This window comes from Homo sapiens, chromosome 21 (genome assembly GCF_000001405.40).
Source record: "Homo sapiens chromosome 21, GRCh38.p14 Primary Assembly".
Lineage (NCBI taxonomy): Eukaryota > Metazoa > Chordata > Mammalia > Primates > Hominidae > Homo > Homo sapiens.
In genome coordinates, this window is record NC_000021.9 from 36,915,438 (window position 1) to 36,941,706 (window position 26,269).

The following is a 26,269-nucleotide window of genomic DNA, read 5'->3' on the forward strand; positions in this document are numbered from 1 at the left end:
GGTCCAACTGGCTGTCACCATGACACTTGGGAACATTCAGAGAATCCCAGGGAATAACACCTGGCCAGGCCTGGCAGGAGAGAGGGGAGCGGCGTCCAACACTGCCCTACGTGTGCAAGGAGAGGGCGGGTCTAACCCCACACACTCAAGGCCACGGTCTAAGAAGCTCCGGCTCAGAAGGTGCATTCGTTCATAGGAGAAAAGCAGAGTTTCTACTGAAAAGTGTTTTTAATAACACACAAAACAATTCCAACTTTTCCCTGAAACTCCATCTGGCCAGTTTCCTCCGGCATGCCCACAGCTGATTCTTCTAGAAACTGTTTAACATGATTGTTAAGAATAACCTAACAACCTGTTAGGTTATTTATCCTGCTTTCCCAGAATACAGAGCTGGACTGTGCGGGCAGCCGCTCGGGCAGAGAGGGCTGTGCACTGCCGGCCTGTCCCTGGGGTCTCTGGGGGCTCTCGGTGCACAGGAGCCAAGGAAGCAGCTCCCAATCCATTAGGGGGAAAAACCAAAACACTTTGCAAGTGTCCAAATAAAATGTGCTTACTAAATGTCTACTATAAGCAAAATACTGGGAAAGGGATACAAAGATTAACAACATATGGTCCTTGCTTTCAAATCAGCTTGCATGACAGTTTAATGGGGAAAACAGATATTTATACAAATAATACAACAATAGCACTTATACAAACCACCTAAAAAAAATCTTATGGAAGTGACTAGATCTAAGGTTCCAAGTCACGATACTTGGGTTAGGAAATTGCAAGAAAAAATTCAAATCCTATACCCGTGACATGATCATCAGTGGAATTTTCCTAGATCAGAGGGGTAGAATCCCTTTGTTGAGTATAAAAGATCAACTATCTGTCCTCATAGCATCCGGCTGTAAGATTTTTTTATGTTCTGTAATTTAAGACTTTTCTTTTAAGAGATAGGGTCTTGCTTGCTCAACATGTTCCTCAGGCTGGAGTGCAGTGGCGCGATCACAAACTCAACTCCCGGGCTCAAGAGAACCTCTCATCTCAGCCTCCCAAGTAGCTGGGATTATAGGTGCACACCATCATGCCTAGCTAATTTTTTTTTTTTTTTTTTTTTTTTTTTATCTTTTGTAGAGGTGGAGTCTCGCTGTGTTGCCCAACCTGGTCTTCAACACCTGGACTCAAGCGATCCTCCCACCTCAGCCTCCCGAAGTGCTGAGATTACGGGCATGAGCCGCTGCACCTGACCAATTTAAAACTTAAAATCTTACTACTCTAAGAACTTTATACACATGTGCTTTATAAATGCTGGTTCATATGAAGATGGAATATCCCCCTCAACCCTGTAGGGTGATACACAGCCATACGGAACCATCACAAACTAGTAGGCTACTGCTTTTACTTCAAATAAAACAAATACTCCCCGGGCCAAGTAGAAACTAGAGCCGTTCTCCTGGAAGCAAAGATGTCAAAGCCTCTCACTCTTAGAAACAACCCACAATAGGGTCTGGGCTTTGTGGTTTACTTAAAGGAAGTAACATTTGCATCTTCAAAACAAAAACAAAAGGCCCTCTTTATCAGGAAAATGTGGCAAAAGGTTCACCAGTGGTAAATCTGGGTGAAGGCTCCACAGGGCTTATAGGGTTGGTGTATGACTCTTTTACCTTTTCTTCAGTTCCAATTTTTTTTAACAAAAAATTGGGGGAGAAATAAAGGATTTTCCCCAGAAGCTTGAAAGGCCCTGCCAGCTCCTACATGATCTGTAGATTTTTGTTCTGCTGTTAATCGTGGAATCATCAAAGAAACAGCCTTCATAAAGAATCAAAAAGCAAAACAGCAATGAAGAACACCTTTTAGCTTTTGATCTGAACAAGCCTTCATGCTGCCTTTGCCGGGGAAGGGCTGCTGAACCATTCTGAGGCAAGAACACCTCCCTGAAAAACCACAGATTTCCATCCTCATGGAGCCATCCCTCCACAGACCCAGATCTTGTACAGCCCAAATGCAGGGCGCACTTTCCCCGAGTACAAACCCCAGTGCGTTTCATGAAGCTGTTCAGTATATGCAGAATCAGTGCATTAATAACAGCTTATTGGCACCGAATGAAAAACACACAAGTCTTAATCTTAGGTCTTGAATTTTGTCCAGTTCCTACGTCATACCTGGCTGTAAGGGCTACAGCCGTAAGCATGCTTGGTGACTGGAGGCTGTGTAGTGAGACCTGAGTTTTGAAACCAGGATTGGTAGCTTAACAAAATTTACTGGTTGTAGAAAAAGTAAACTTGCCTCCGGGGAGGTGAGCTCAGCCTCACCATTCTGACAGCAGCCTCTGGTGGCCAGTTTAGTAAAAAGTGTTGGCTCTCATGCTGAAAGCTCGGACCTTCCCTTCTTAATGAAGGTCGCTGCAAGCAGACAGGCCATTCTAGGTAACAGCTGGAGGTGACTGGGGAAGCTGCAGAAATCCAAACGAAGGTGTGACTTTGGACCACGTAAATCACCAAGTCATTGGATGATCTGTCTCTTGCATTAAAAAAAAAAAAAAATGAAGTACTCTCTTTCAAAAGTAGAAAAATAAATAAAGAGAACTGTTTTAAAAGGGCTCAAGTCACAAGGCAGATAATACATACTCAGTTTGAAAGTAATCTCATTCCTTACTTGCATAGAAAGCCTTTAAATATTCAAGGAGCACAGATTCCTGAACAAAATAAAGCCCAGCCTGTCTGCTTTCTTACATAGCACCCCATGGTACACTAACTCCTATGTACTGAGTGCCGGAAATTCTTCCTGCAAAGTAAGGAATTGCTCCATATGGCAGAAACTTCTAGAAAATGCTGCAACCATTCATTCAGAGAACAAAATTAAATATTCAGGATTGTAGGTGAGGCCTGATTTCTAGTGCCACAGATTCACACCATTTCACTGGATATAAATAGAGGAATGATCAGAGGCTGACAGTTGGCTTCAAAGGCAGAGAGGGTAAGAAGGAGACGCCATCAGCTTCAAGCCAACTTCTTCGTAAGGTGCACTCTGTCCTCAGCTGTCAGAGAACAATCTGGAAACAATCTGCTGAGCAGCTGCTCTCATCAACAAACTGTTTATTGTAAGAAAGTGGCTGGGTCAAAGGCTAAACATCAACCCGAGCTGAAAGCATACAGAACAAAAATCAATACCGTCCCTGCTAAAGAGACCCAGGACTTAGCATGCAGAAAAGAGAGGGTGAGGAACTCATGTTTAGTTCTGAAAGAGTAAGAGTTGGAACAAAACCCCCATATTTCAACATTCAGGGTTCTTCTGCATATTATTCCAATTGGCGACTTGCTGCTATTTGCAGAATGGCCTTGTAATGGGGGCTAAAATGTGGCATTCAACAAGGACACAGAAATCAACTTTGCCCTAAAAGTTACAGGGGTTAACATCAGTTGTTTCTCTCTCACATTTGTTTTGCAACAGGACCAACGTGCTCATCATACACATGTGCTTATTATACACAATGCACAGATACTACAGTCCATCTTTAAATATGTCTAATTGGAAACTGGAAGGCTGACTGGACATGAGATTATATGAAGAGATTGTTTCATTTTAGGTATGACGGTGGAATTGTGATTATGTTTTTAAACAGAGCTCGCATCTTTCAGAGACACATACTAAAATATTTGCAGATGAGAAAACTGAAACAGTATCTGGGAATTCCTTCCAAATAATACTGGCAGAGAAGTGGGTAGAAAGAAGTGAAATAAGATTGGCCATAAATGGATAACTGTGAAAGAGAGTGATGAGTACAGAAGAATTCACTCATTATTTATATTTACTTTTGCATATTTGAAATTTTCTATGAAATGTTTGCTTTTACTTGTGTGTAAAGTTCAACAGTTACTTTGAAAGAAAAAAAGTTTTCTTAAATATAAGAGAAGTATTAACCTACCGAGGCAAATTAATTAAGTCATATGCCATGGTATTGCTAGGTATCCAATTTAACGTTTTTGAGCAATGTCCGAGATATGGTTGTTATGTCCTGAGTTGAACGATGGAGAAGTAGAAAGAGATGCTCAAAGTGTTCCCACTGCATACGTGCTCCAGCAAGCCAGAATGTGACACAGAAACAGATAAGACGGTTTCCCATGGTTTAATTGCAGTATGGGGCAAGAGGACATACGTGAGATGCTAGGAAAACCCAACTGTCATAAATAATGGGGACCAAATTGTTAAAAGACAAGTTAGCACACAAATTTTGAAAACACAATTTCTTTGTAAATCTGAGGCTGCTATATAGTGTATTGATAATTCTTAAATTAACAGTAAAATTAGAGAATTAGCCTGAAATAAATAAAAATAAAGCAGATAGCAAAACATTATTTCATTGTGCTGAAATTAACTGTGAAGATGTATCTATGATTTTAACTTGTTCCAATATAAAGATGAAAATGGTAATAATCACAAATTCTTAGAAAAGAATGCATTCAAAGGAACTGCTTAAAAAGTTAAAAAAAATTTTTTTTAGTCTACTTGCTTTGCCAAGACCAGCATAAATACTGCAGAGAGTCCTGCAAAGGATGAGAAAGGTCATCTTGTCTACCCTCCCTCCCAACAGAACAGAGAAGGGTTTGGTCATGAGAATTTGGTGACGCACCAGGCACGGTAGCTCATACCTGTGAGGCCAAGTACTTTGGGAAGCTGAGGCGGAAGAATTGTCTGAGCCCAGAAATTTGAGACCAGTTTGGGCAAAAAGTAAGACTCCATCTCTACAAAACACAAAAGTAAAATAGCCAGGTATGGCGATATGTGCCTGTAGTCCCCGCTGCTTGGGAGGCTGAGGTGGGAGATTACCTGAGCTCAGGAGTTCAAGGCTGCAGTGAGCCATGATCATGCCACTGCACTCCAACCTGAGTGACAGAACGAGACCCTGTCTCAAGAAAAAAGAAAAAAAAAAAAAGACACCCACCCTAGTGGGAAGGTGGGGCAGAGATGGGAATGGTTAATGGATGCAAAAAATAAAAATAAATAAAAAGAACGAATAAGACCTAGTATTTGATAGCACAACAGGGTGACTACAGTTAATAATAATTTAACTGTACATGCTCAAATAACTAAAATAATATAATTTGTTTGTAATATAAAGGATAAATGCTTGAGAAGATAGGTACCCCATTTTATATGATGTGATTATTATGCACAGCACGCCTGTATCAAAGCATCTCATGCATCCCATAAATGTATACACCTACTATGTACCTATTAAATTAAAATTAAAAAAAATTTTTAAAGCCGTCTACCAAGAAAAACTCATTTGGCCAATCTGAGACACTACACCTAACCCCAACATCACAGAAGGAAAAAATACACAGAGCAAAACCTTCAAAATTATAGACCTTTGACCTTTAAAGCATTTTATTAACTAAAAAGCTACAGAAAAACTTAAATCCTGAAATGCATCAAGGTTGCCTATGAAAAGTAATCTAGACAATCCTAGGCAGAGTCTGGCTATCCCCCCACCCCCAAATTAACCATCATTTTTTAATTTATGAAACTACTGTTTGATGTTTCTTTTAAAAGGTGTATTTTCTTATTTACGGAAATTAAAAACAGGAAGAGGGATCAGTGGTGCCATCATTCAATCACTCTTCAGTGAACTACTCTACGTAGGATTCATTTTTGTTCAGAGAAGAGAGCAACTTACCAAATGTTTACCTAGGGCATACAAAAGCAAACTCAGTAAGTTTTCTGAGAAGAATATTCACTTTCAGCCGGGCACAGTGGCTCACGCCTGTAATCCCAGCACTTTGGGGAGCCGAGGCAGGCGGATCACAAGGTCAGGAGTCCAAGACCAGCCTGACCAACATGGTGAAACCCCGTCTCTACTAAAAATACAAAAACTAGCTGGGCGTGGTGGTGTGTGCCTATAATTCCAGCTACTCAGGAGGCTGAGGCAGGAGAATCGCTTGAACCCGGGAGGTGGAGGTTGCAGTGAGCCGAGATCGTGCCACTGCACTCCAGCCTGGGTAAGAGTGAGACTCTGTCTCAAAGAAAAAGAAAAAAGAATATTCACTTTCAACTTTAATTTTAATTTTCTAAACTTTTCCTTAATGCATGTAGGAGGCAGGTTGAATTAAACTAAAAGTTTTTATAGACCAGTGGCTCAGGAAAGCCTCATGGTGGGTGAAACTGACAATGGTCCTATGATACGCATGTTCAGGACCCAGCGATCTAGCTGACTGCTGATGGGCAACGCTGTTCTCCTTTCGCTCACACCTAGAATCTGAATCTCAGCCTCGGAGGCGCAGCAGCACAGTGCCAAAGCAGCCCTCCTCTTCACCCAGAGCCCCTGTCCCCTGCACTCAGACACACATGCCAGAGACCCACCAGAGACACAAACACCTACACAACAAAATTGTGCTGTGAACCTCGTGTCAAGGGAAAGTGCATTTCCCTTTTACCAGAAATCTCCAGACCCGCTACTCTAAGTCTTCTCTCACTCTCTGGGAGAAATGACCACTCCACAAAGGCACGTTCTATCTCAGCAATCTTAAGTTTTTCTGTAGTTCTGGTTAAAACAGACATATGCACTTAAATAAATAAATATATAAATGTATATGCATATATATTATCATAATATGTATTCATATGGTTGAAATTTTAAAAACTCAAATACCCTTAAAAGTATCGATTAAAAGACTCTGTTTTTTTAAATTAAAGCCACGTTCCTCAATTCACGAAATAAAATTTGAGTTATAGAATTTTTTTGTAAAGGACAGTAGCTCCAATGATCAATGAGAATTGAAATCATAGTCTTTAACTCCAATATCTCCTTTTTAGAAAAAAATATTTATTTTAATTGACAAGTAAAAAGTATGTACATTTCTGGTATACCACATGATGCTTTGATATATGTGTATGTTACGGAACAGAAACTCCAATATTCCTTCCACTGATTCTATTATTAAACCAAAGCCTAAAAACATTTTAAGAAAGAAAAGACCCACGACACCAGCAGAGGGATAATGTAGAATTGTACTGGAAACATGGTAGTACCTGGATAGCTGTGTGGCCAAACTCGGCATGCTGTACCTGGGGAGACGCAGCCATACACAGGCAGCTACAACAAAACAAACAAATTAGGAAGATCTCTCAGAAAAAAGGAGTCTTCCCTTCTTATCTCCAGGAGAAAGTGCCTGAGGGACCGACAGACGGACTAACCTTGGCTGAGTCTTCCTGCTTTCACGAGGAAGCCCGCAAAATCCTCCTGGTGCTGCCCAGCATCGGCCGAGCTCCAGCACAGGAGCGCTCTCCTTGCACCCCAAGTTGTTTCTCCCCTTACCACTCAGGTGGGGGAAATGGGGGATTAAACACCACTCAGGTCCACAAACTGCCTGTCAGTTTTGAAACCCCCGAAACACTATAAACATTTTTCCAAGACAGTCAGTGCAAATCTCCAGGCGGCATTCTCAAATCATTAGCATGCATGGAAACAAAATGTGCTCCCCAGCTATAATTCACATCCCAAGAACTGAAGGAGAACATTTATCAAATGGGATTCGGGTCTCAGACCCCGACATTCCTGAGCTGACACCACCAGCTCCGCGGCCCGGGAGCGCCAGACTCAACGGTTCCGTCATCGCCGGGCGCCCCACCGCCGCACCCACCGCCAGCTCTGGTCCTTGGCCCTGCACCTGACCACAGGAGCCCTTTGATCATGCTCTCTAACCCGGCACCAGTATGGGCTTATTCCTGGGATGTGTTTTTTGAACTGGGAGACAAAAATCCGCGTGTGAGAATGTTCTAAGCCCTTCTGGAGACAGCCTCCACCGACTTCCCTGGGAGGTGAGGCCAGAATCCATACCCGCTCACACATGGCAGCTATTAGGAAGCCCGGGTAGGAGACAAAAAGCATGTGGTCTTGGAGGATTTTTTTTATTCCAAAAGAGGCCGTTTCCCATCCACAAGTTTGTGACTGCATAAACGGTGGATATAAATAGACGGAGGAAAGAAAACCACGCTTCTTAGACGGGATGCTATCCCAAGAAGGAAAGTGCTGAGCGGGAATGTTCCCTCGGCCTCAGAGACCTTATCACCCCTTCACCAGGCCAGACAGCAAAGACCGCAACGCACAGAAGCCAGAATCATCACAAAACTAATTAAACGTGGAAAACAACAAAAGCGTTTGTGCAGATTTCCCACAAGCACACATCTCTGCCCCGGGTATTTACTCTGCAGGCGCTGCTTTGAGGCACACTTGTGGAAACAAGATTCAAGTAAAAAGACAGGACACACAGTAGCTGAAAAGCCTTCTTCCCACAAAAATAAAACATTCTAAAGGGAGCACAGGAAAACCCCCCAAGTATGATTTCTTTTGCAATTCAACATCAAAACCCATCATGTCACCTTTTGCCATGGGTATTATGTTTGATAACAGGAAGTCAGTCAAAATGAACAAAAAATTTCCAGCGTAGGTGAAGGGCGAAGGAAGAAAGAAACGAGAGAAAGAGGTATATGAAAGACCCTTAAAAGCATTCATAGCTATAAAAGCTTTTAAATGTTTGCTTTAATCTGCTAGCTGCCTTTAGCCGGTGCCGTATTGTAAAACAGCCGCACAAGACCACAGCAGCCACATGTCAAAAGCTATTCAAGGTGCACCTGGAATTCTGACTTCCTCTCTAATTTGGATCTCTAAAAATTATTTTTAAGCTGTATTTTAAAGTTATGCCCAAAGCTTCGCCCTATCTATACATTCGAGACTCAGAACTAGGATTAAAAATAGGAGAAGGGGAGGACTCCACATCAAGTACTATGTTAAAAAATGGCAGGCAAAGATTTTTTTTAGTGGAGAATTCTAATTAACTCATTAGAAAAATACATTAAGCCAGGTGCAGTGGCTCATGCCTGTAATCCCAGCACTTTGCGGGGCTGAGGCAGGTGGATGACCTGAGGTCAGGAGTTTGAGACCAGCCTGACTAACATGGTGAAACCCTGTCTCTACTAAAAATACAAAAATTAGCCAGGCATGGTGATGGGCACCTGTAACCCCAGCTACTTGGGAGGCTGAGGCAGGAGAATCGCTTGAACCCAGGAAGCAGAGGCTGCAGTGAGCAGAGATTGCACCACTGCACTCCAGCCTAGGCGACAAGAGCAAGACTCCATCTCAAAAAGAAAAACAACAGAAACGAAAAATACATAAGCCTCTTCACTGTCCTGTACGCCAGCTTCCTCTCCCGGGGGCAAGGACTCCTTCCCCGCCCTGCCCTACTTATCAGGGTCACTATGAGACCCAAATGAGATGGCGACACAGGTAAAAAAGCTTGGTTAACTAGAACGCATGCCACAAAGACGAGGAATTATCCCTCGTTTTCCAGAAACTTCTGCAGCAAGGGCTTGTACTTAGTAGGCACACAGATGTTTGCTACATGAAGGGGCCAGTTAGAGAAGGAGGAACAACTGTGTGGTATGTATGACTGAGTCTAAGTTTCTTCATAAAGCTATCAACGTCTGAAAAGCAGCTCCATCTCAGTATGTTCATGTATATCAAATCATCATGCTGCATACCTTAAATATATACAATTTAAAAAAAAGTAACATAAAGGACTTCCCGGAGTAGAAGGGCCTGTACCCGTTTTTTGATATGTTTACAAGTATCTAAACTATCCTTACCAACAAAACCTGCTTTTTATGGGGGGAAAAAGTTTCACAGTAAAAATTTGGGGTTAAATCAAAATGAAATGTCATAACTAGTTTCTGTTTTTAAGTACGTATTACCCATTCCATAACTCCCCACTACCAAAATCACACAAACACACCTCATGGTGATTTTGCCCGATCATTTCAGTAACAAACCCAGTTGTCACTTCTTGTGACAGCTACATCTTGATCCCAGCTGGACACAGGACCCCTGCTAAGAGTCCAGCCGGCTTGTGTTTCTCAGGTCACCTACACACTGTTAGCCACCGTTGGCCACGATGAACACCCACAAGGTTCCCAAGCTTTTTCATTTTGGAAAAATTCTTGTGCTCCCCAGATCCTAAGCAGATGTCCCAGGCTACGGGAGCAATGCACAAGCTCTCTAGTTCCCCAAGGTAAAGGTGCCGACCTTCCTGGGGGCAGCACGTCCAGTTCCCCAAGGTAAAGGTGCCGACCTTCCTAGGGGTGGCACATCCCACCTTCTTCTGCTTCCTCTGGACTCACTGGGGGGACCAAAAGGGGTCCACTGGCAGGCAACTCTGCAGGGGTGGAGGGTGGGGGGCTGGCTCTGCCCCACACACAGATTCAGGTCCCAGCCGGTCCTAACCCGCCAGCTGCCCCTCCCAGTGAGACCCTGCAGAGCGTGGCAGCCTGTGCTTTCTTTCTGCCATTGCTCTGGCAGAGATAAAAAGGAAAATGGAACCCAGAGAAACAGAAACAAGGCAGCTAGCTTCTCAACTGGGAAAGAATTACATTTTCTCTAGAACATCAGATTCGATAGAAAATAAAATCTATTAAAATGTTTCTATAAAATATAAAAGAATTATGTTTTTTCTGGTGTTCTGTAAGGGAAAGGATTATGTTTCTTCTATAAAATCAGTGTTTCTCAAAAACATTCATGTCCCAGCACAGTAAAGATGTATTGCTGCTGACTGCCTGTCACCCACTGGTGGCGGGAAGATGTGGTGGCCACCAGGTGATCGCACCCCGGACACCCCACAGTGAGCCATGTGGTGTATCAGTCTCTCACCCACCAACATCTGCAGAGAGGAAGCCATGGAGAGGTCCCCATATATATGGTCTTGGAGAAACAGTTCAAAGGGCTCTGCCAAGAAACTGGAACATCCAAGCAGGGGTAGGGCACCCAGGGGTACCTTCCACCCACAGAAGCAAAGGGACAGCTTCAGCTCGGAGGCCCCCACACACCAACTCAGAGCTCACAGTTAACCCTGGAAGTCACAGCTGCCACAGGCCATGAACAAGAGTCACGTGTTTTACTATCAGAGCGAACCCTTTCTAAATAATATGTCAAATATTAATATTAACCAAAGTATCAACACCTATGAGATTCCCTGCCTTTTAACATTCAAGTGTGACCATGTGTGAGATGCCTTCAAAGTCCAATGACACGCAGTCATTTGTTTTTAGTTTTTAATAACTAATTTGGCTCATTATAAAATAACTCATAACAAATAACCAATTTGGCTCATTATAAAATAACTAATAACTAATTTGGCTTATTATATATATAATCATTATAGAAAATTTGGAAAATACAGAGAAAGTTTTAAAAGATTATTAAAATCACCCTTAAGCACTCCACCACAAATAAGTCCCATATATACCAGATTTCCTTCCAGTCTTGTTTCCTTTTTTTTTTTTTTTTTTTGAGACAGGGTCTCACTCTGTTGCCCAGGCTGGAGTGCAGTGGCACAATCATAGCTCACTACAGCCTCAACCTCCCTGGCTCAGGCAATCCTCCTGCCTCAGCCTCCCGAGTAGCTAGGACTACAGGTATGCGCCACCATGCCTGGCTAATTTTTGTATCTTCTGTAAAGAATACGAAATTCTGCCAGGTTGCCCAGGCTGGTCTCGAATTCCTGGGCTTGAGCGATCCACCTGCCTCAGCCTCCCAAGGCATTGGGATTACAGGCTTGAGCCACTGCACCTGGCCCAGTCTTCTTTCTACGGAGATAGGTGTGTGGTAAACGTGTGTTTGTGTGTTTGTTTTATGGTTTAACTTTTTGTCATTTTGCTGAGACCCAAATTTCAATCCTGCTCCTGGGAGGTTCAATTAAACGTGAAAGCCTTGGTCGGAGGAAGCCCAGCTCAGCCGCCCACAGCCTGCATCTCAGCCAAGCCCTGCTTCCTCTTGGTATCGTGCACAGTGACACTGATGGAGCCACACATGACTGGGTTTTATAGTGGGAATCACACGCTACCATGGTGTCTGGGTGTCGATGAAGGTCTCCGAGCACATCCTTCCCAAATGCCAAGGGCTGACCGTCGCTGAGGCGAGTGTTTTTTCTCTTTGGGTCTTGCTACTATTCTTTCCAGTTATATCACAGTAACGGAGAAGCACATAAATCTTCTGCGCTATTCGTCATAAAGAGCAAGTGTCAAGGCACCAAACTGTGTAAACACAGCTGGTACGCAGTAAAACTATTTAGATAACTAGCATATTTATTTTGTTCTTTCATATCCCATACTATAATAGTACCTAGGACACAGTAAACGTTGAATGAAAGATGAATATTATTAACTGGGACATTGAAATAATTTCTGCAGACCCAAAAGAAAGTGCCACCAATATAATGGAAAACTATAAAATTATACTATGTGAAACTGATATAGACAGAAAAAAATTAAATCTCTGAAGAACAACTTTATAGTTCTAGGGTCCTGTATGCGAGGCAGCCTAGCTCAGCAGCGACACCCTGTGGTGAGAGATCTTTGACTCCCAGCAACAGAGTGTCTTGCAGGGCACAGGAAGCAGAAAGCCAGCCCAGGCATCCAATCCCTAAGGCAGGCGATGAGCCAAATGGACAGGCAGGATTTAGCAGATGACTGGGTGCCAAGATCCTCTCCATGGAACTTAATTCCGTGAGGATGACTGAGATCTGTTAAGTAGGGATGCCAGAAAGAAAACCAAATACAAAGCACAAACCCAATTCCATTCCCAGTCTCTGTGGTCCAGATCTATAAATACTGACCCATAGCACAGTGACTAGATGCAGGAGGAATTCAGCTGCCTCCGGAAAGACCACCTCAGGCAGTGCATATCCACCTTCAAATTCATTTGCACTATAATCCTTTAGAGAACTTGTATTCCAAGAAAACATCATATAAAACCTTGACTTCTGCCATTTCCTTCTACAGCAGATTCAAGGACACCTAAGCAGAGTTAATAAACATTAAGAGGCCGGGAGCGCCATGCCTGTAATCCCAACACTTTGGAAAGCCAAGGCAGGCAGATTGCTTGAACTCGGGAGTTCAAGACCAGCCTGGGCAACATGGCGAAACCCTGTCTCTACAAAAAGTATTAAAAATTAGCCAGGCATGGTGATGCACACCTGTAGTCCCAGCTACTCGGGGGGCTGAGGTGGGAGGATCGCTTGAGCTTGGGAGGTGGAGGCTGCAGTGAGCCATGATTGCACCACTACACTCCAGCCTGGGCAACAGAGCAAGACCCTGCCTCAAAAACTAAAAATAAACATTAAGAAATGAGGATATGTACAACATACACGTACTCATTCCATTCCTTGGGCTCCCAAAGTAAAGCAGAATTCAGTCAGAAATAAGCAGCTGAGAGGAAAGTAGTCCACAGCACAGATATCCAAGAAAATCAACAAGGCCAAGTGGAGGGCCCGCAATGGGAAGTGAACATTTCTGAAAATAATTATTTTCCAAAGTTATTATGTAATAAGGGGCTTAGTAGGGAGTGTCCATGTATGTGTATACAGAGCAAATATTTGCTTTAATCATGTTCAAGCATTTCATTCCCAAAGTTTGTGAAAGGGGAAATCAATACTCCCTCAATTGATCAATGAACAGGTGAAAAAGTATCACCTCCCACTGCCCCAGGCTGTTTAAAAAACTGGAAGGACAAAAATGTGAAGCATCTGTTGTGTGCTTGAATATAAGCAGACACATGATACAAAGCCCTGACATGGGTATTTCAGGTTATACTCATCCTAAATACACCAGAAATGCCAAGAGTTCCAAACTTCCACTCACAAGAGAATAACCTGGGGCAGGGCCACTCTTCCTATCCACTACTCTGTCCAAGAGTCCGGAGGTCAAGTCCGAAGACCAGCATGATCAGAACTCCGAGAAAGGGCAGGGAGCTCTGCCAAGGGCAAGGCCAGGCCACCTCACTCCCGGACTTCCCCAGCTGGGAGCCTCAGAGCAGGCACTGGCTAAGGTAGCCAGCCCCAGCCCTCCATCCCCAGGAAAAGGCGACAGAGAAGGTCTAGGGGACTGGCAGTGCTCTCAGATTTTCTATCTGTCTTCTCCAAGTGAGCCCATCACACCCAGATAGCTCATAGCTCTGCTCTCCTCCAAAAACTAAGGGACACAGTGTAACACAAAAGAAAGTGCCTCCTTTTTAAAAAATGTTGGGATGAGAGGTATAATTTGTTTGTTTCAAGAGAAAGTAGGTAAGTTTAGTGTTTAAAGTCACCTAGACTATTGGGTGTTTGCAGAAACTACATGGTTATGTCATTCAACTCACAAATTTGTCTGTTCAGAGAAGACAACAGAAATAGACAAAATAATTTGTCACAATGACTATGAAACTGATAGTATGGCCAAGCAGGGGGATTAGCAAGAACCTACACCTGGAGAATCTGGCGACCTGCCCAAAACCAGGTATCAATCACAGGCAGCAAGTGCAGGCATGGGCCAAGAGAATTCCCGAACACATTCCCAGCTCCGTGGGCATTTTCCTGTCAGACACGACTCACAGACGTGAAACCCAGAGCGCTGTTGCCACAAGATGGCAGACATTAGCACAAATGTGATTGTTCCAAAGATTTGCTGAAAGTGGCTCAAGTCAAAACAAATGTTTTCAATCCCAAATGAATAAAGTTACAGTCTGAATATACTCTTGACACAGGGACCCTCTTCCCCCTAACGTGGAAAGGGCCACACCTGCAGACTTAACACCTTTCTAAACTCTACTAGTTGGCCCTCTCTTATATATAATCCTCCCCCAACAAAATGAATATTTGCACATCTTGAAGATGATTTCCAAACCCGAAGTCAAAACAGAAATGGAAAATCAAAACCAACCAAAATAAAACAATTAAAGCAACGGGTCGCCACTGTGAAGAGGGCCACGTCACAGCGCGCTCTGCCCAGCTGAGCCCACAACTCACCTCCGCAGCTGACAGCAAGTAAAGAGGAGTTAAGGCAGGAACTTGTTTCATGTCACAGCTGAGGCCAAGGGTTGTCAGAATCTCTCTAAGGACTTCGTATCTTCTAAAATTGCTTGACTTGAGCAAGTTAAAATCTTCTGGAGTTTGCACTATGTTGGAGCTGGGAGGTAGTTCTAAGTGCACCTGAAGGGGAAAGATAGCACTATGTAAACTGAGGGCACTCACAGGCAATGAGAAAAACAGTTTCTTTTTTCTTTTTCTTTTTTTTTTTAAATTTAGAGACAGGATCTCATTATGTTGCCCAGGCTGGTCTTGAACTCCTGGGCTCAAACGATCCTCCCACCTCAGCCTCCCAAAGTGCTGGGATTACATGTATGAGCCACCACATCTGGCCAAAAAATTTCTTTACCAGTTTTCTTCTCCAAGTGAGCACATCACACCCAGATAGCTCATAGCTTTGCTCTCCTCTGAAAATTAAGGGACACAGTATAACCCACAAGAGAAAACTTGAACATGAATTTTTCTAATTATCAATAGCATATAAACTCTGAAGCTGTATATCTGGAAAGTCATGGCCAACAAAAGAACGATTCCAAAGAGCCTACTCAAATTTTGGTTGTCAGGCTGAGAGGCCACGGTGGAAATGACCCTGGACAGTCATCATCTCTCTCCAGGTACTGATGTTCCACACTCATCAGTCATATGACCTTCCGCAAGTTACTTAACTTGATTATAGGAACAAAATATCTAGGGCCGGGAGCGGTGGCTCACGCCTGTAATCCCAGCACTTTGGGAAGCCAAGGCGGGCAGATCACCTGAGGTCGGGAGTTCAAGACCAGCCTGACCAACATGGAGAAACCCTGTCTCTACTAAAAATACAAAATTAGCCAGGCGTGGTTGCATGAGCCTGTAATCCCAGCTACTCGGGAAGTTGAGGCAGGAGAATCGCTTGAACCCAGGAGGCGGAAGTTGCGGTGAGCTGAGATAGCTCCATTGCACTCCAACCTGGGCAACAAGAGTGAAACTCCATCGCAAAAAAAAAAAAAAAAAAAAAAAAAGACCTAGAAAGACAGTTATGCTGAAAACCTAATTGCTAGTGAGTTCAGGGAGGCAAATGGGTCATGCTGGAAACTTCCATTTTGCCTATTAGCCATAACTGGAAAACAATACCTAGGAAGAGAGCAGCGTTATTCATCATTTTAAGAGCGTTTGCAGGAGGCTGGGTATAAAGGCTCACACCTGTAATCCCAACACTTTGGAAGACCAAGATGGGAGGATTGCTTGAGCCTAGGAGTTTCAGACCAGCCTGGACAACATAGTGAAACCCTGTCTCTACAAAAAATACAAAAATTAGCCAGGCGTGGGTGGTGCGGCTGTAGTCCCAACTACTTGGGAGGCTGAGCTGGGAGGATCCCTTGAACCCAGGAGGTTGAGGCTGCAGTCAGCCATGATCGTGCCACTGCACTCCAGCCTGGGCAACAAAGTGCGACCATTTAAAAAGAAAAAAAAAAGAGAGAGAGAGTTTGCAGGAATTCAAAACAGCAGGTCCTTGAATAATGTTGTTTCACTCAAAGTCATTTTGTTATGATGTTGATGAGGGGAAAAAGAAATCACTTCCCAGCCGGGGCCACTGTCTGTGGGTCCGTACGCTCTCCCCATGTCTGCACGGGTTTTCTCTGTTTCTCCGTTTTCCCCCCACATCCCCAAGCTGTGCACATTAGGTGAACCGATGCGTCTACATGGTCCTGATCTGAGCAAGTGTGAGTACGGGTGTGAGTGTGCCCTGTGATGGGAGGGCATCCTGGCCAGGGCTGACTCCCCCACCAGTAGTACCCTGAGCTTCCTGGATGAGTTCCAGCCACGCGGCCACCCACCATGCTGAACTGAAATAATCAGGTAAATAATTATCTTTGTTTTTATTAATCTTTCTTAAATGTACATATAATTCATATTTATTTCAGTGTTTCAGTGTTTTGGCCTTTATTTAGAAGTCTGGTGATGTCTTTGTGACCAGAAATACACTATGGGAACTGACTTCTTGTTTATATCAATTAGCCTATGGTAACATTGGTTTCATTGTTTGTCATTTCACTTAAGGGTGCAGTTTCCAAGAATCTATCAACAACTTTAAGTGAGGACTTACTGAGGAAGGCATACGATTTCTTGGACACCAGAAAGGCCTTTCCTCCCACCCTCCTTCCCCTGATTGAATTTTAAGATTTGGAACTTCACCTAGTTACTTCAGGCTTTGTTGTCTAGTTAAAATTAAAATATCTCCACCTATCAGCAGCCTTTGTCTGGGTATGAAGGAACTTACTGGAACCTCTAGCTCCCCTGAGATCAGATTTTAAATGAGCATTGAAGCCTGGAGGTTGCCAGAACACTGAGTACCCAGAAAAGCAAACTGAGCTCGTCTGCCTTATTTTGTTTCAGCTTTGCCTACTGTATGCAAAGCTTCTAGCCTGATATTATAGAAGTATTATGAAAATAAAAAGCATAATGCCAGCTTTCAGGCGACTTAGAATCTCTCAATTCCTACCTTAACCAAGCCAAATATACTAACCAAATGTTAGAAGTTGAGGCTTAGCTGGGTGTGGTGGCTCACGCCTATAATCCCAGCACTTTGGCAGGCCGAGGCGGGAGGATCATTTGAGGCCAGGAGTTTGAGACCAGCCTGGACAACATGGTGAAACCCCACTGCCACTAAAAATACAAAAATCAGCCAGGCATGGTGGCGCACGCCTGTAATCCCAGTTACTTGAGAGGCTGAGGCACAAGAATCACTTGAACCTGGGAGGCAGAGGTTGCAGTGAGCTGAGATGGTGCCAGTGCACTCCAGCCTGGGTGACAGAGTGAGACTCCGGCTCAAAAAAATAAAGGTTGAGGCCAATCAGAAAAGGTCTGCAGGGCACCGTCCAACATGGTCCCCAAACCACAGCTGATTGGCTGCAGGCTGGCTGCTTCCTCCAAGACTGAGGATGCCAATCATGGGACAACAGGTCAGGTGGGCCTGTTTGTAGACAGCCCTGGAGAGGGGAAGAGGCAGAAAAGCAAAACCCTCTAAAGAATCCATATCCTCACCTGATGTCAGGAGTTCGAAACCAGCCTGACCAACATGGTGAAACCGTCTCTACTAAAAATACAAAAAAAATTAGCCGGGCCTGATAGCGCATGCTTGTAATCCCAGTTACTTGGGAGGCTGAGGCAGGAGAATCACTTGAACCCGGGAAGCAGAGGTTGCAGTGAGCCGAGATCGTACCACTGCACTCCATCCTAGGCAGTAAGAATGAAACTCCGTCTCAAAAAAAAAAAAAAAAAAAAACAATCTGTATCCTACTCAGTGCACTTCTACCCTAAATGTGTACCTCTCCTCTCCGGTGGACAAAGCCATGCCAGTATAGACAAACAGCATAGCGGCGAGACCCGTTTAATTCACTTGAGCACACGGCTATCCCGGAGATTAACCCTTACAGGTGGCAGAAATGAAATAAGTCAAGTTCTGTTCCCACTAGAGCCGAAGGGATGAGAGGGGTGCTCGACTGAATGCATGTGGACTCACTGGTCAGGGTGAATACACAGAGTAGCCAAGATGCACACGCAGTGAATTGTATGAACTCGTTTTCACATGAGAACGATGCCAGGACGGAAAACAGGATGGCGCTACAAGCGGGCGGAGTTCCTGGAGACAAGGGGGAAGATGGCCGCTGAAACCCCGAGAACTGCTTGGCTTCACTGTCTTAGGGTTTCAAGATGTAGGTGCTTCTACAATGGAAACAAGAAAAGAGGCCACCTCTGGTTCTACGCTCCCAATTAGCAGGGAGAAATGGCACACCGGAGTGTGTGGGTGGTAGATTTGTACTCCTCGTCCACAGAGGTACTGGACTAGAATCTCATTCTCTGAGTGTAACCCTGTTACCATAATGACAGGTCTATTTCTGTAACTTGGCTTCTTGTAAAAATAAGACTTTTTAGTTGGACCGAAAACCGGAACTAAAAAAATGTCTCCAGCCACAAATGCGTGGAGAGGGTGATACTGGCATCCAGTGGGGAGAGACCAGGGATGCTATTCCGCAGCCGAAAATGCACAAGACTGTTGTTGCCACGAAGAATTCTCTGACCCAAAATGTCAATAGTGCCATGGTTGAGAAACTCTGTCATCAAAGGCGACCCACTGCTGCCATGTGCTAAGCTAAACAAGAAAACAAAATCTTTTAAAATCCCTTTTAAAGATTTTCTGTGGACAACTTCATGGCAAATTCCTGGTCCATTTGACAGTCAAATGTCAGCATTAATCCACAGCCTTAAGTTTTCCCTGCAAACTTGATCAGTACAGCGAGCATACAAACATTTCCTCTCTTTCTTTATTATTATGAATGGCAAAGGCATCAAATCTGCAGCTTACTCGGCTGGGACACCAGTGCCTAGGGTGCAGCTGTGTTCTGCCCTTGAAATACTTTACCTCCTCTTATTGGGTTACATCATTACTAGATTTATTACAAAGGTGAAGACTATGAAATTGAACAGGGAAAGAGGAAACTAACCAGCCTGTGATAATATTTATTTTTTGATCTCAGTAAGGTATCACAGAGACACAGGCCTGTGGAGAAAACAGTGACCCTGTCACACAGAAGACTGGAAGTCATTTAAAATCAAAAATGACATTCTAATCCTCTGAATCTGATTTGTGAAGCTGCATCATATTGCCTTTTTTTTCTAGGGCAATGCACTGCAGTATCAAATTTTATGATAGTAATGGGGTCAATTTAAATGGTGCAGCAAGCAGATTTGCTATGTAACTCGGAGAAATGGATCACAACAGTGCCAAATCAATTTTCTAGTACAAGTCTGTGCTCAGGGGTGGTAAAATTCACTCTTCAAAACTGAAATATGGCTCTAGGAAGTCGGGTTTTTAAGTGGATTTTCTGAGAATATGCAGTTACTATAGTTACAATATTTGCAGAGAAAAAGATAAGAGGAACATTTATTACGCCTCCAAAAGCTAATTCATGTGGCCTGCAGCACTGCAGGAAACCTGCTTGGGCTGTACGTGTTCATCTGTCCTAATGTCCAAATTCCTTAATTTTAAGCATCTCTGCTTGAGTATTATCTTAAGAACAAGTGAGTCGGCTTTAGAATAGTAAAGAAACAAATATATACTCTGGAAAAAAATGTTTGGCCAGAAAATTCAAGAAACTTAGCTTCCAGGAGAACTGGAAAAAGACAAGGCATTACAAAATGAAAACAAAACAAAAAAGGAAACAATTCTCTATCTCAATAAAAAGATCCCTATAATAAAACAAAATCGATTACACTTATCTTGGGAACTCTTCTGGACAAAATATCTACATCTGCGTAGTTTTCTCATTAGAGCATCAAATCCTTTAGGGCAAGTGAATGTTCATCTAACTCTAATGAAAACCTTTTCCCCTAAGGATTAAAAGATTTGGAGTCAATGACAAGGAATTCTGAAATAGTTTATCCGCTACCGTTTGCTTAAACAAACAAAAAGCTAAAAGGAAAAAGAAGATGAGCCAAAGGATCTCCTACGCAAGAAAAAGAAACTAGCATTTTCCTTTCATCCTCTTTCCATTTTCCCCCTACCTATGTATTAGTATGCCACAAATCTAAGTAGCTTCAATATTCTCTTATTTGAAGTTTTTCTTTTCAGCACTTGGAAGAGTGACAAAACATAAGAAAGGAATTGGGAACCTGAAGATGTTTTCAACACCAACTACCTTGGCAATCAACTGCAGTATTTCATCGCAGTGGTCACTGACGTCTAGAATCACTACCCTGATGGTTTCAACTTCCTACCTTAAATAAAGACTCAATTATATTAACCAAGGGGTGCTCTAAGGCAAGAAAGCAGACCGATGAATTTGAGAAAGATCATTACTAGTAAAGAACAAAACGAGAATTTTCTGACTAAGCCTCAGTTAACCAGCAAGCTCATTTAACCCTGACAGCTGCCTTGTTCCTCCCTCACAAGTCTTTTGGTTAACCAGGGTATTCAAGAAAGCCCTGAACTAAACTAAACTTTCTGCTCACTATCAGCAAAAGCTCCCAGCCAATAGTCAAAAACAGCCCGCAGCACACGAACTCCTGAAACTTTTAAGCGTGTACCTTTAAAAGACATATTCCCTCGCAAAAATACCCACAGATACCCAAAGATCACCAAATCCATGCTGCCCTGAGTACCTGGCAAAGAACAGCTTCTCCCCCGCGAGTTCCAAAAGGCACATGCACAATCATCCTGTCCTTGTCCTCATTCTCCAGGTGGCCCTGGAGCCTGCCGGGGCTGAGCCGGACGGGGCCTTCCTGGTACCTGCAGCCACTGCTCAAGACGCTGAGCTTCACCTCGCTCTGGTCAGCCTTGGAGAAAACCAAGTTCTGGACTGTCTTGTGCAGTGCACCCTTGCTTGTCACCTGAAAGCCACCAAAGGTGAAGGATGAAGACAGGCCCAACACCTTCCCTCCCTGAGAAAGATAGGCCATGAACTTCTGGTACAGGTCTTCGGGAATGGACTCCCTGGTAGCAATGACCAACAGCAGACAGTTGTCCGTCCACGGGTCTCTGAGAGCACTGTCCTCCAGCAGGTGGTAGAGAATATAACTGTCAATGTCCACACAGTCGGCCAGCACAGACCGGACCTCGTGGAACCGGCCGAGGGCTTCCTGGGAGTCGGAGCCCACATAGAGGAGGATGTTGGGTGCCTTTCCCGTGAGGTTGACTCTCCTCCCTTCTCTTTCGGGGGAGGTCTCATCAGCAACACTCTCCAAACTGCTGCTATAATCGTAGGGAAGGTCTGGAATGTTCTCGGCAGACGCAAACTTGACTGACTCAATGGTGCTGTTCTCAAGTTCCAGACACTCGTGGCAACTAGACAGATGGAGGTGATAATGCTCAACGGGGCCCCCTCCCCTGTCACTGTCCCCAGCAGGCTCACTCCCAGAGGCACTGCCTCTCCTTTGTTTGGGTTCTTCACCAAGAGCCTTTGGGTCATCTCTGCCAACATGCTCCATACCGTCCTGCTCAGGCTTAATCTCAAGAGAAGGTTCAGGCTTCGGCTCTAGGATCTGGGCTTGCTTGTTTGAGACCTGATCCTTAACTTCCTTCAGAGTGGAGTCCTGCAAGTGCACCGCTAAGGCATGAATAGGAGAGAGAGACAGAAAATTAATCAACACTTCTTGTATGACACATAGCTCATCTCAAGAATCTCATCACCCTCTCTGCATTCTGGGACTTACATTCCAGGACAGCCTCTGGCACGGCTCCCACCTGCATCCCCCCTCAACTCGGGGGCATCCTTTGGAAACACTAATTGTTCCCACCTGAAGACCCCAAGTGAAATCAGCAGTTTGCCCAACATCTTTTATACCTATTGGAGAACCTAAGACCCTCTTACGGAATGGTGAAGAAAGTGAGATTCAGAGAGGTGCCTTTGCCTCCTTACTTACAGATTCTATTTCTTGGGTGTTATTCTCCTTCACAATAATGAAACTGAGCAATAAAAAGGACACATATCTAGAGTCTACCCCAGCACGCCCCAGTGAAATGTCACTCTCAAGACATGCCATAGGATCAATGGGAGAAGATTCTTCCCAGTATCTTGTCTCAGGACTGGAACATAAGTTGACAATCACTAATTCAAAAACATTTATTGAGCACTTGCTACATGTCGGACATGGTATTAGAGACATGTACGAGGTGATTCTGGATATTAAGGGATTTACATAAACTTCCAAAGCTGATAAGGGACATTTATTTGCCCATCAGATGAAAGAAGACATTCATAGACATAAAAAGCCTGCTTTTAAGTCTAATTAAGGAAGAACAGTTTGTGTGTTTCCTGAAAAACGATTTGTCCCAAGAAATTGTGATACATATATTTTAAGTAAAAAGCGGTTTGATTTAGAACTTCATAGTAACACTAGCTATGCTTCCCACTCAATCAGAACTGTAGTCTAGACACTAGTTATACTGTATTAAACTATGTGAAATAAATATTATATGGGTTCTGAATTTGAATGCCACCTCATGAGCAATGCAGTCATGAAAACTTCTTGTTTAAGAAATTTAATAAGCACTGAAAATGTACCCTGCAGCCCCCCAAAAAAATCTTGACACATGCATGAATTGTATATTATTACAGTAAAATCAAACCTGTGGACTGAATTAAACTGAAACCAAGCATAGCCTTTATGTCATACCAGTAAGAGTGCTCAACAGTCCTTAAGCTAATAACTTATAGTGTCCCACTATGATAAAAACAGGGTCTCACTTTGTCACCCACATGGGAATGCAGTGGCGTGATCATGGCTCACTGTGGCCTCAACCTCCCAGCTCAAGTGATCCTCCCATCTCAGCCTCCCAAGTAGCCGGGACCACAGGCATGCACCACCACACCCAGCTAATTTTTTTGTTTGTTTGTTTTTTTGGAGATAGGGGTCTATGCTGCTCAGGCTGGTCTCGAACTCCTGGGCTCCAAGCGATCCTCCTGCCTCGGCCTTCCAAAGTGCTGGGATTACAGGCATGAGCCACTATGCCTGGCCAATAAAAACATTTTCTAAAGTTACTTACACACAATCTTTTGGGGTACCAGTCCATTATCCATGTGGAGTCTATCTTCCATGAACGCCACCCCCAGCTTGCTGAAGTTGTCCACACTTGCTTCAGCAATTAGCCGATAAGGATCCCCAGGTCTGCAAGCTAATGGCAAACAACAGTCTGACCACTTGACAATCTGAGAAAAAGCAGGAGAGGGAGGAGGTGGGAAAAGACAGGTTGAGATTTTTCTTCTCTAAAATAACCACATACTTTATTTTTCCCTTGAGGCTCCTACCACTAAATTACAGTCATTAATAACAAATTACTGGATATTACATTTTACTAATATCAGAGTTGTTTTGAATTCAGCATTCTCATCTCTACCTGACAACAGTGCTTACGAAACACTAAATATAACTCTCTCATTTAAAAGTAACTGAAGTCTCCACCTTTTTAAGGAATTAAAAGATAAAGGGACATTCCCCAGACACTGGAAAAACACCATGCTGCCCTTTAAAAACAGAGAAGAGGAGAGAACAAGAAGTCCACAATACCCAGTTACTTTCAATGTAACCTGTGGACCCGCTTTTCTCAAAGTGTGGTCCGAGACCAAGTGCAACTGACCTCCCAGGGAGCACATGAGACCTTCAGAGTCCCGAGCACAACTCCCTCCCTATCTGGTGCACTGGACTTTCTGGAGTTGAAGTCCAGGAATCAGGATTTAAAACATGCTTCCCCTGGGGTTCCTGCACTCGAACTGTGAGAACAATCCAAAAAGACTCTCCAGACAGTTCCTCCCTGTAAGGAGGTTCACGTTCCTACCACAAGGGGGACAGGGAGAAAGAGAGCAGGCAAAACACCCGGCTTAGCCTTCCAGTTCTTACTACAGAAGACCGTGACACTGGGGCCTGGAACACCCATGCTCTCTCTGAGGGTTCCCATGGAGAAGACAGCCTGTGAGGTGAAGAGCCCGGCGCTGCAGTCAGGGGTCTGAGGCCGAGTCAAAGGCAACTAATCATCACTGTCTGTCCTCGGGCAAGCTTCCGACCCTCACAGCATCCTAATTTGTAAAACAAGAATACTCTACTAAAAATACAAAAATTAGCCGGGCGTGGTGTCGCACACCTGTAGTCCCAGCTACTCGGGGGGCTGAGGCAGGAGAATCGCTTGAACCCAAGAGGCAGAGGTTGCAGTGAGCTGAGATCGTGCCACTGCACTCCAGCCTGGGTGACAGAGCAAGACTCCATCTCAAAAACATAAATAAATAAATATAATTTAAAGGTTGGTTGTGTTCATGAGATCAAAGAGTATACGTAATGCCCCCAGTAAAAAGCTTAGATTGACTGGAATAAAGTACTCAATTACCGACAGCTGCTTTTATTAGCTGTCACAAATGTGGCTTTAAAAGCAGCAGTGAGCAGCACAGTCTTTTTCTAAGATGCCATGAACGATTGCTCTACTTCCTAAAGATACCTTCTCAGGGACACACTGCCCCGAATTTCATAATTATAGATAAATAATTTTTTATTCCATTTTTATTTATTTGTATTTATTTATTTTTTGAGATGAGTACTCGCTCTATCACCCAGGCTGGTCTTGAACTCCTGGCCTTGAGTAATTCTCCCGCCTCAGCCTCCCGAGTAGCTGGGACAACAGGCTCGGGCCACCACACTGGGCTTGAATTCTATTTTAGATATTGGTGGGCTAGGATTTTAGAACTAACTCCTCCTAAAAACTATTTTTTAAATGCTAGATAAAATAAATGAATAAAGCATTACCTTAAAAGTCTGGAAGAACAGACTAGATAATAGTGAACTTCCAGGCCAAGTGTGGGATAAATCCTGAACCTACAGAGGAAAGGGGTATTCCTGCAAGACACGCCACTTCTGCCCCCAGGGTCCTTGCTCATCCAAGCAACTTGGGTTTCAAAAGTCATCGTCCAACTGGCATAAGCATAGACATATAGAGATATGGTTTGGCTGGGTCCCCACCCAAATTTCATCTCGAACTGTAATCCCCATGTGTCAAGGGACGGACCTGGTGGGAGGTGACAGGATCCTGGGGGCAGTTTCCCCCATGCTGTTCTCGTGATAGTGAGTTCTCATGAGATCTGATACTTTTGAAGTGTTTGGGCTGGGCGCGGTGGTTCATACCTGTAATCCCAGCATTTTGGGAGGCCAAGGTGGGCAAATCACCTGAGCTCAGGAGTTCATGACTAGCCTGGGCAACATGGTAAAACCCCGTCTCTACTAAAAACACAAAAATTAGCCAGGCGTTGTTGTGGGTGCCTATAATCCCAGCTATTCAGGAGGCTGAGGCAGGAGAATCGCTTAAACCCAGGAGTTGGAGGTTGCAGTAAGCCGAGATCATGCCATTGCACTCCAGCCTGGGTGAAAGAGCAAGACTCTGTCTCAATCAATCAATCAATAAAGTGTTTGGTAGTTTCCTCTCTGTCTCTGTCTCTCACCTGCCACCATGTAAGACATACCTTGCTTCCCCCTTTGCCTTCTGCCATGATGGTAAATTTCCTGAGGCTTCTCCAGCCATGAAGAACTGTGAGTCAATTAAACCTCTTTCCTTTAAAAATTACCCAGTCTTGGGCAGTTCTTTCTAGCAGTGTGAAAACAGACTAACACATATAGACCAAGAGAACAGAGCTGACAGTATAGAAATAAACAGATTCATGGACAACTGAATTTGGACAAGGGTGCCAAGACAACTCAATAAGGAAATAATAGTCTTTTCAACGAATGGTACTGGTACAACTACATACTGACGTGTAAAAGAATGAACATAGGCTGGGCATGGTGGCTCATGCCTGTAATCCCAACACTTTGGGAGGCCGAGGCAGGTAGACCACCAGGAGTTTGAGACCAGCCTGACCAACATGGTGAAACCCCATCTCTAC

General features: G+C 43.9%; 1 protein-coding gene across 17 annotated transcripts in view, besides 3 other annotated features; it reads right to left on the reverse strand.

Annotated features, from left to right (window-relative positions):
- Positions 1-26,269, reverse strand: part of HLCS (holocarboxylase synthetase) — a 241,587-nt gene that overhangs the window by 166,813 nt on the left and 48,505 nt on the right. For 16 of the 17 annotated variants that reach the window (NR_148021.1, NR_148020.2, NM_001352517.1 and 13 more), the window contains 3 exons: positions 23,395-23,557; positions 21,012-21,955; positions 14,814-14,996 (listed from right to left, as the gene is read on the reverse strand). Coding sequence is in view for 15 of the 17 variants with exons in the window: in XM_047440752.1 (XP_047296708.1) it covers positions 14,814-14,996; positions 21,012-21,955; positions 23,395-23,557 (1,290 nt within the window). In the remaining 2 variants the exon portion in view is untranslated. The remainder of the gene's footprint in view (positions 1-14,813; positions 14,997-21,011; positions 21,956-23,394; positions 23,558-26,269) is intronic. The other variant, XM_024452065.2, reaches the window with a different exon arrangement.
- Positions 2,152-2,446: a silencer, noted in NCBI's record as "tiled region #2954; HepG2 Repressive DNase matched - State 8:EnhW, and K562 Repressive non-DNase unmatched - State 12:CtcfO". NCBI's record gives its function as "represses a minimal TATA promoter and a strong SV40 promoter by Sharpr-MPRA in HepG2 and K562 cells {active_cell/tissue: HepG2 | K562}" and the evidence as "EXISTENCE:reporter gene assay evidence [ECO:0000049][PMID:27701403]".
- Positions 12,316-12,508: a silencer, noted in NCBI's record as "fragment chr21:38300053-38300245 (GRCh37/hg19 assembly coordinates)". NCBI's record gives its function as "represses an EF-1alpha promoter that drives an FKBP-Casp9 reporter gene in an ReSE screen in HepG2 liver carcinoma cells {active_cell/tissue: HepG2}" and the evidence as "EXISTENCE:reporter gene assay evidence [ECO:0000049][PMID:32094911]".
- Positions 24,430-24,929: an enhancer, noted in NCBI's record as "H3K4me1 hESC enhancer chr21:38312167-38312666 (GRCh37/hg19 assembly coordinates)". NCBI's record gives its function as "activates a minimal SCP1, AML or CMV promoter by ChIP-STARR-seq in naive H9 embryonic stem cells {active_cell/tissue: H9 hESC(naive)}" and the evidence as "EXISTENCE:reporter gene assay evidence [ECO:0000049][PMID:30033119]".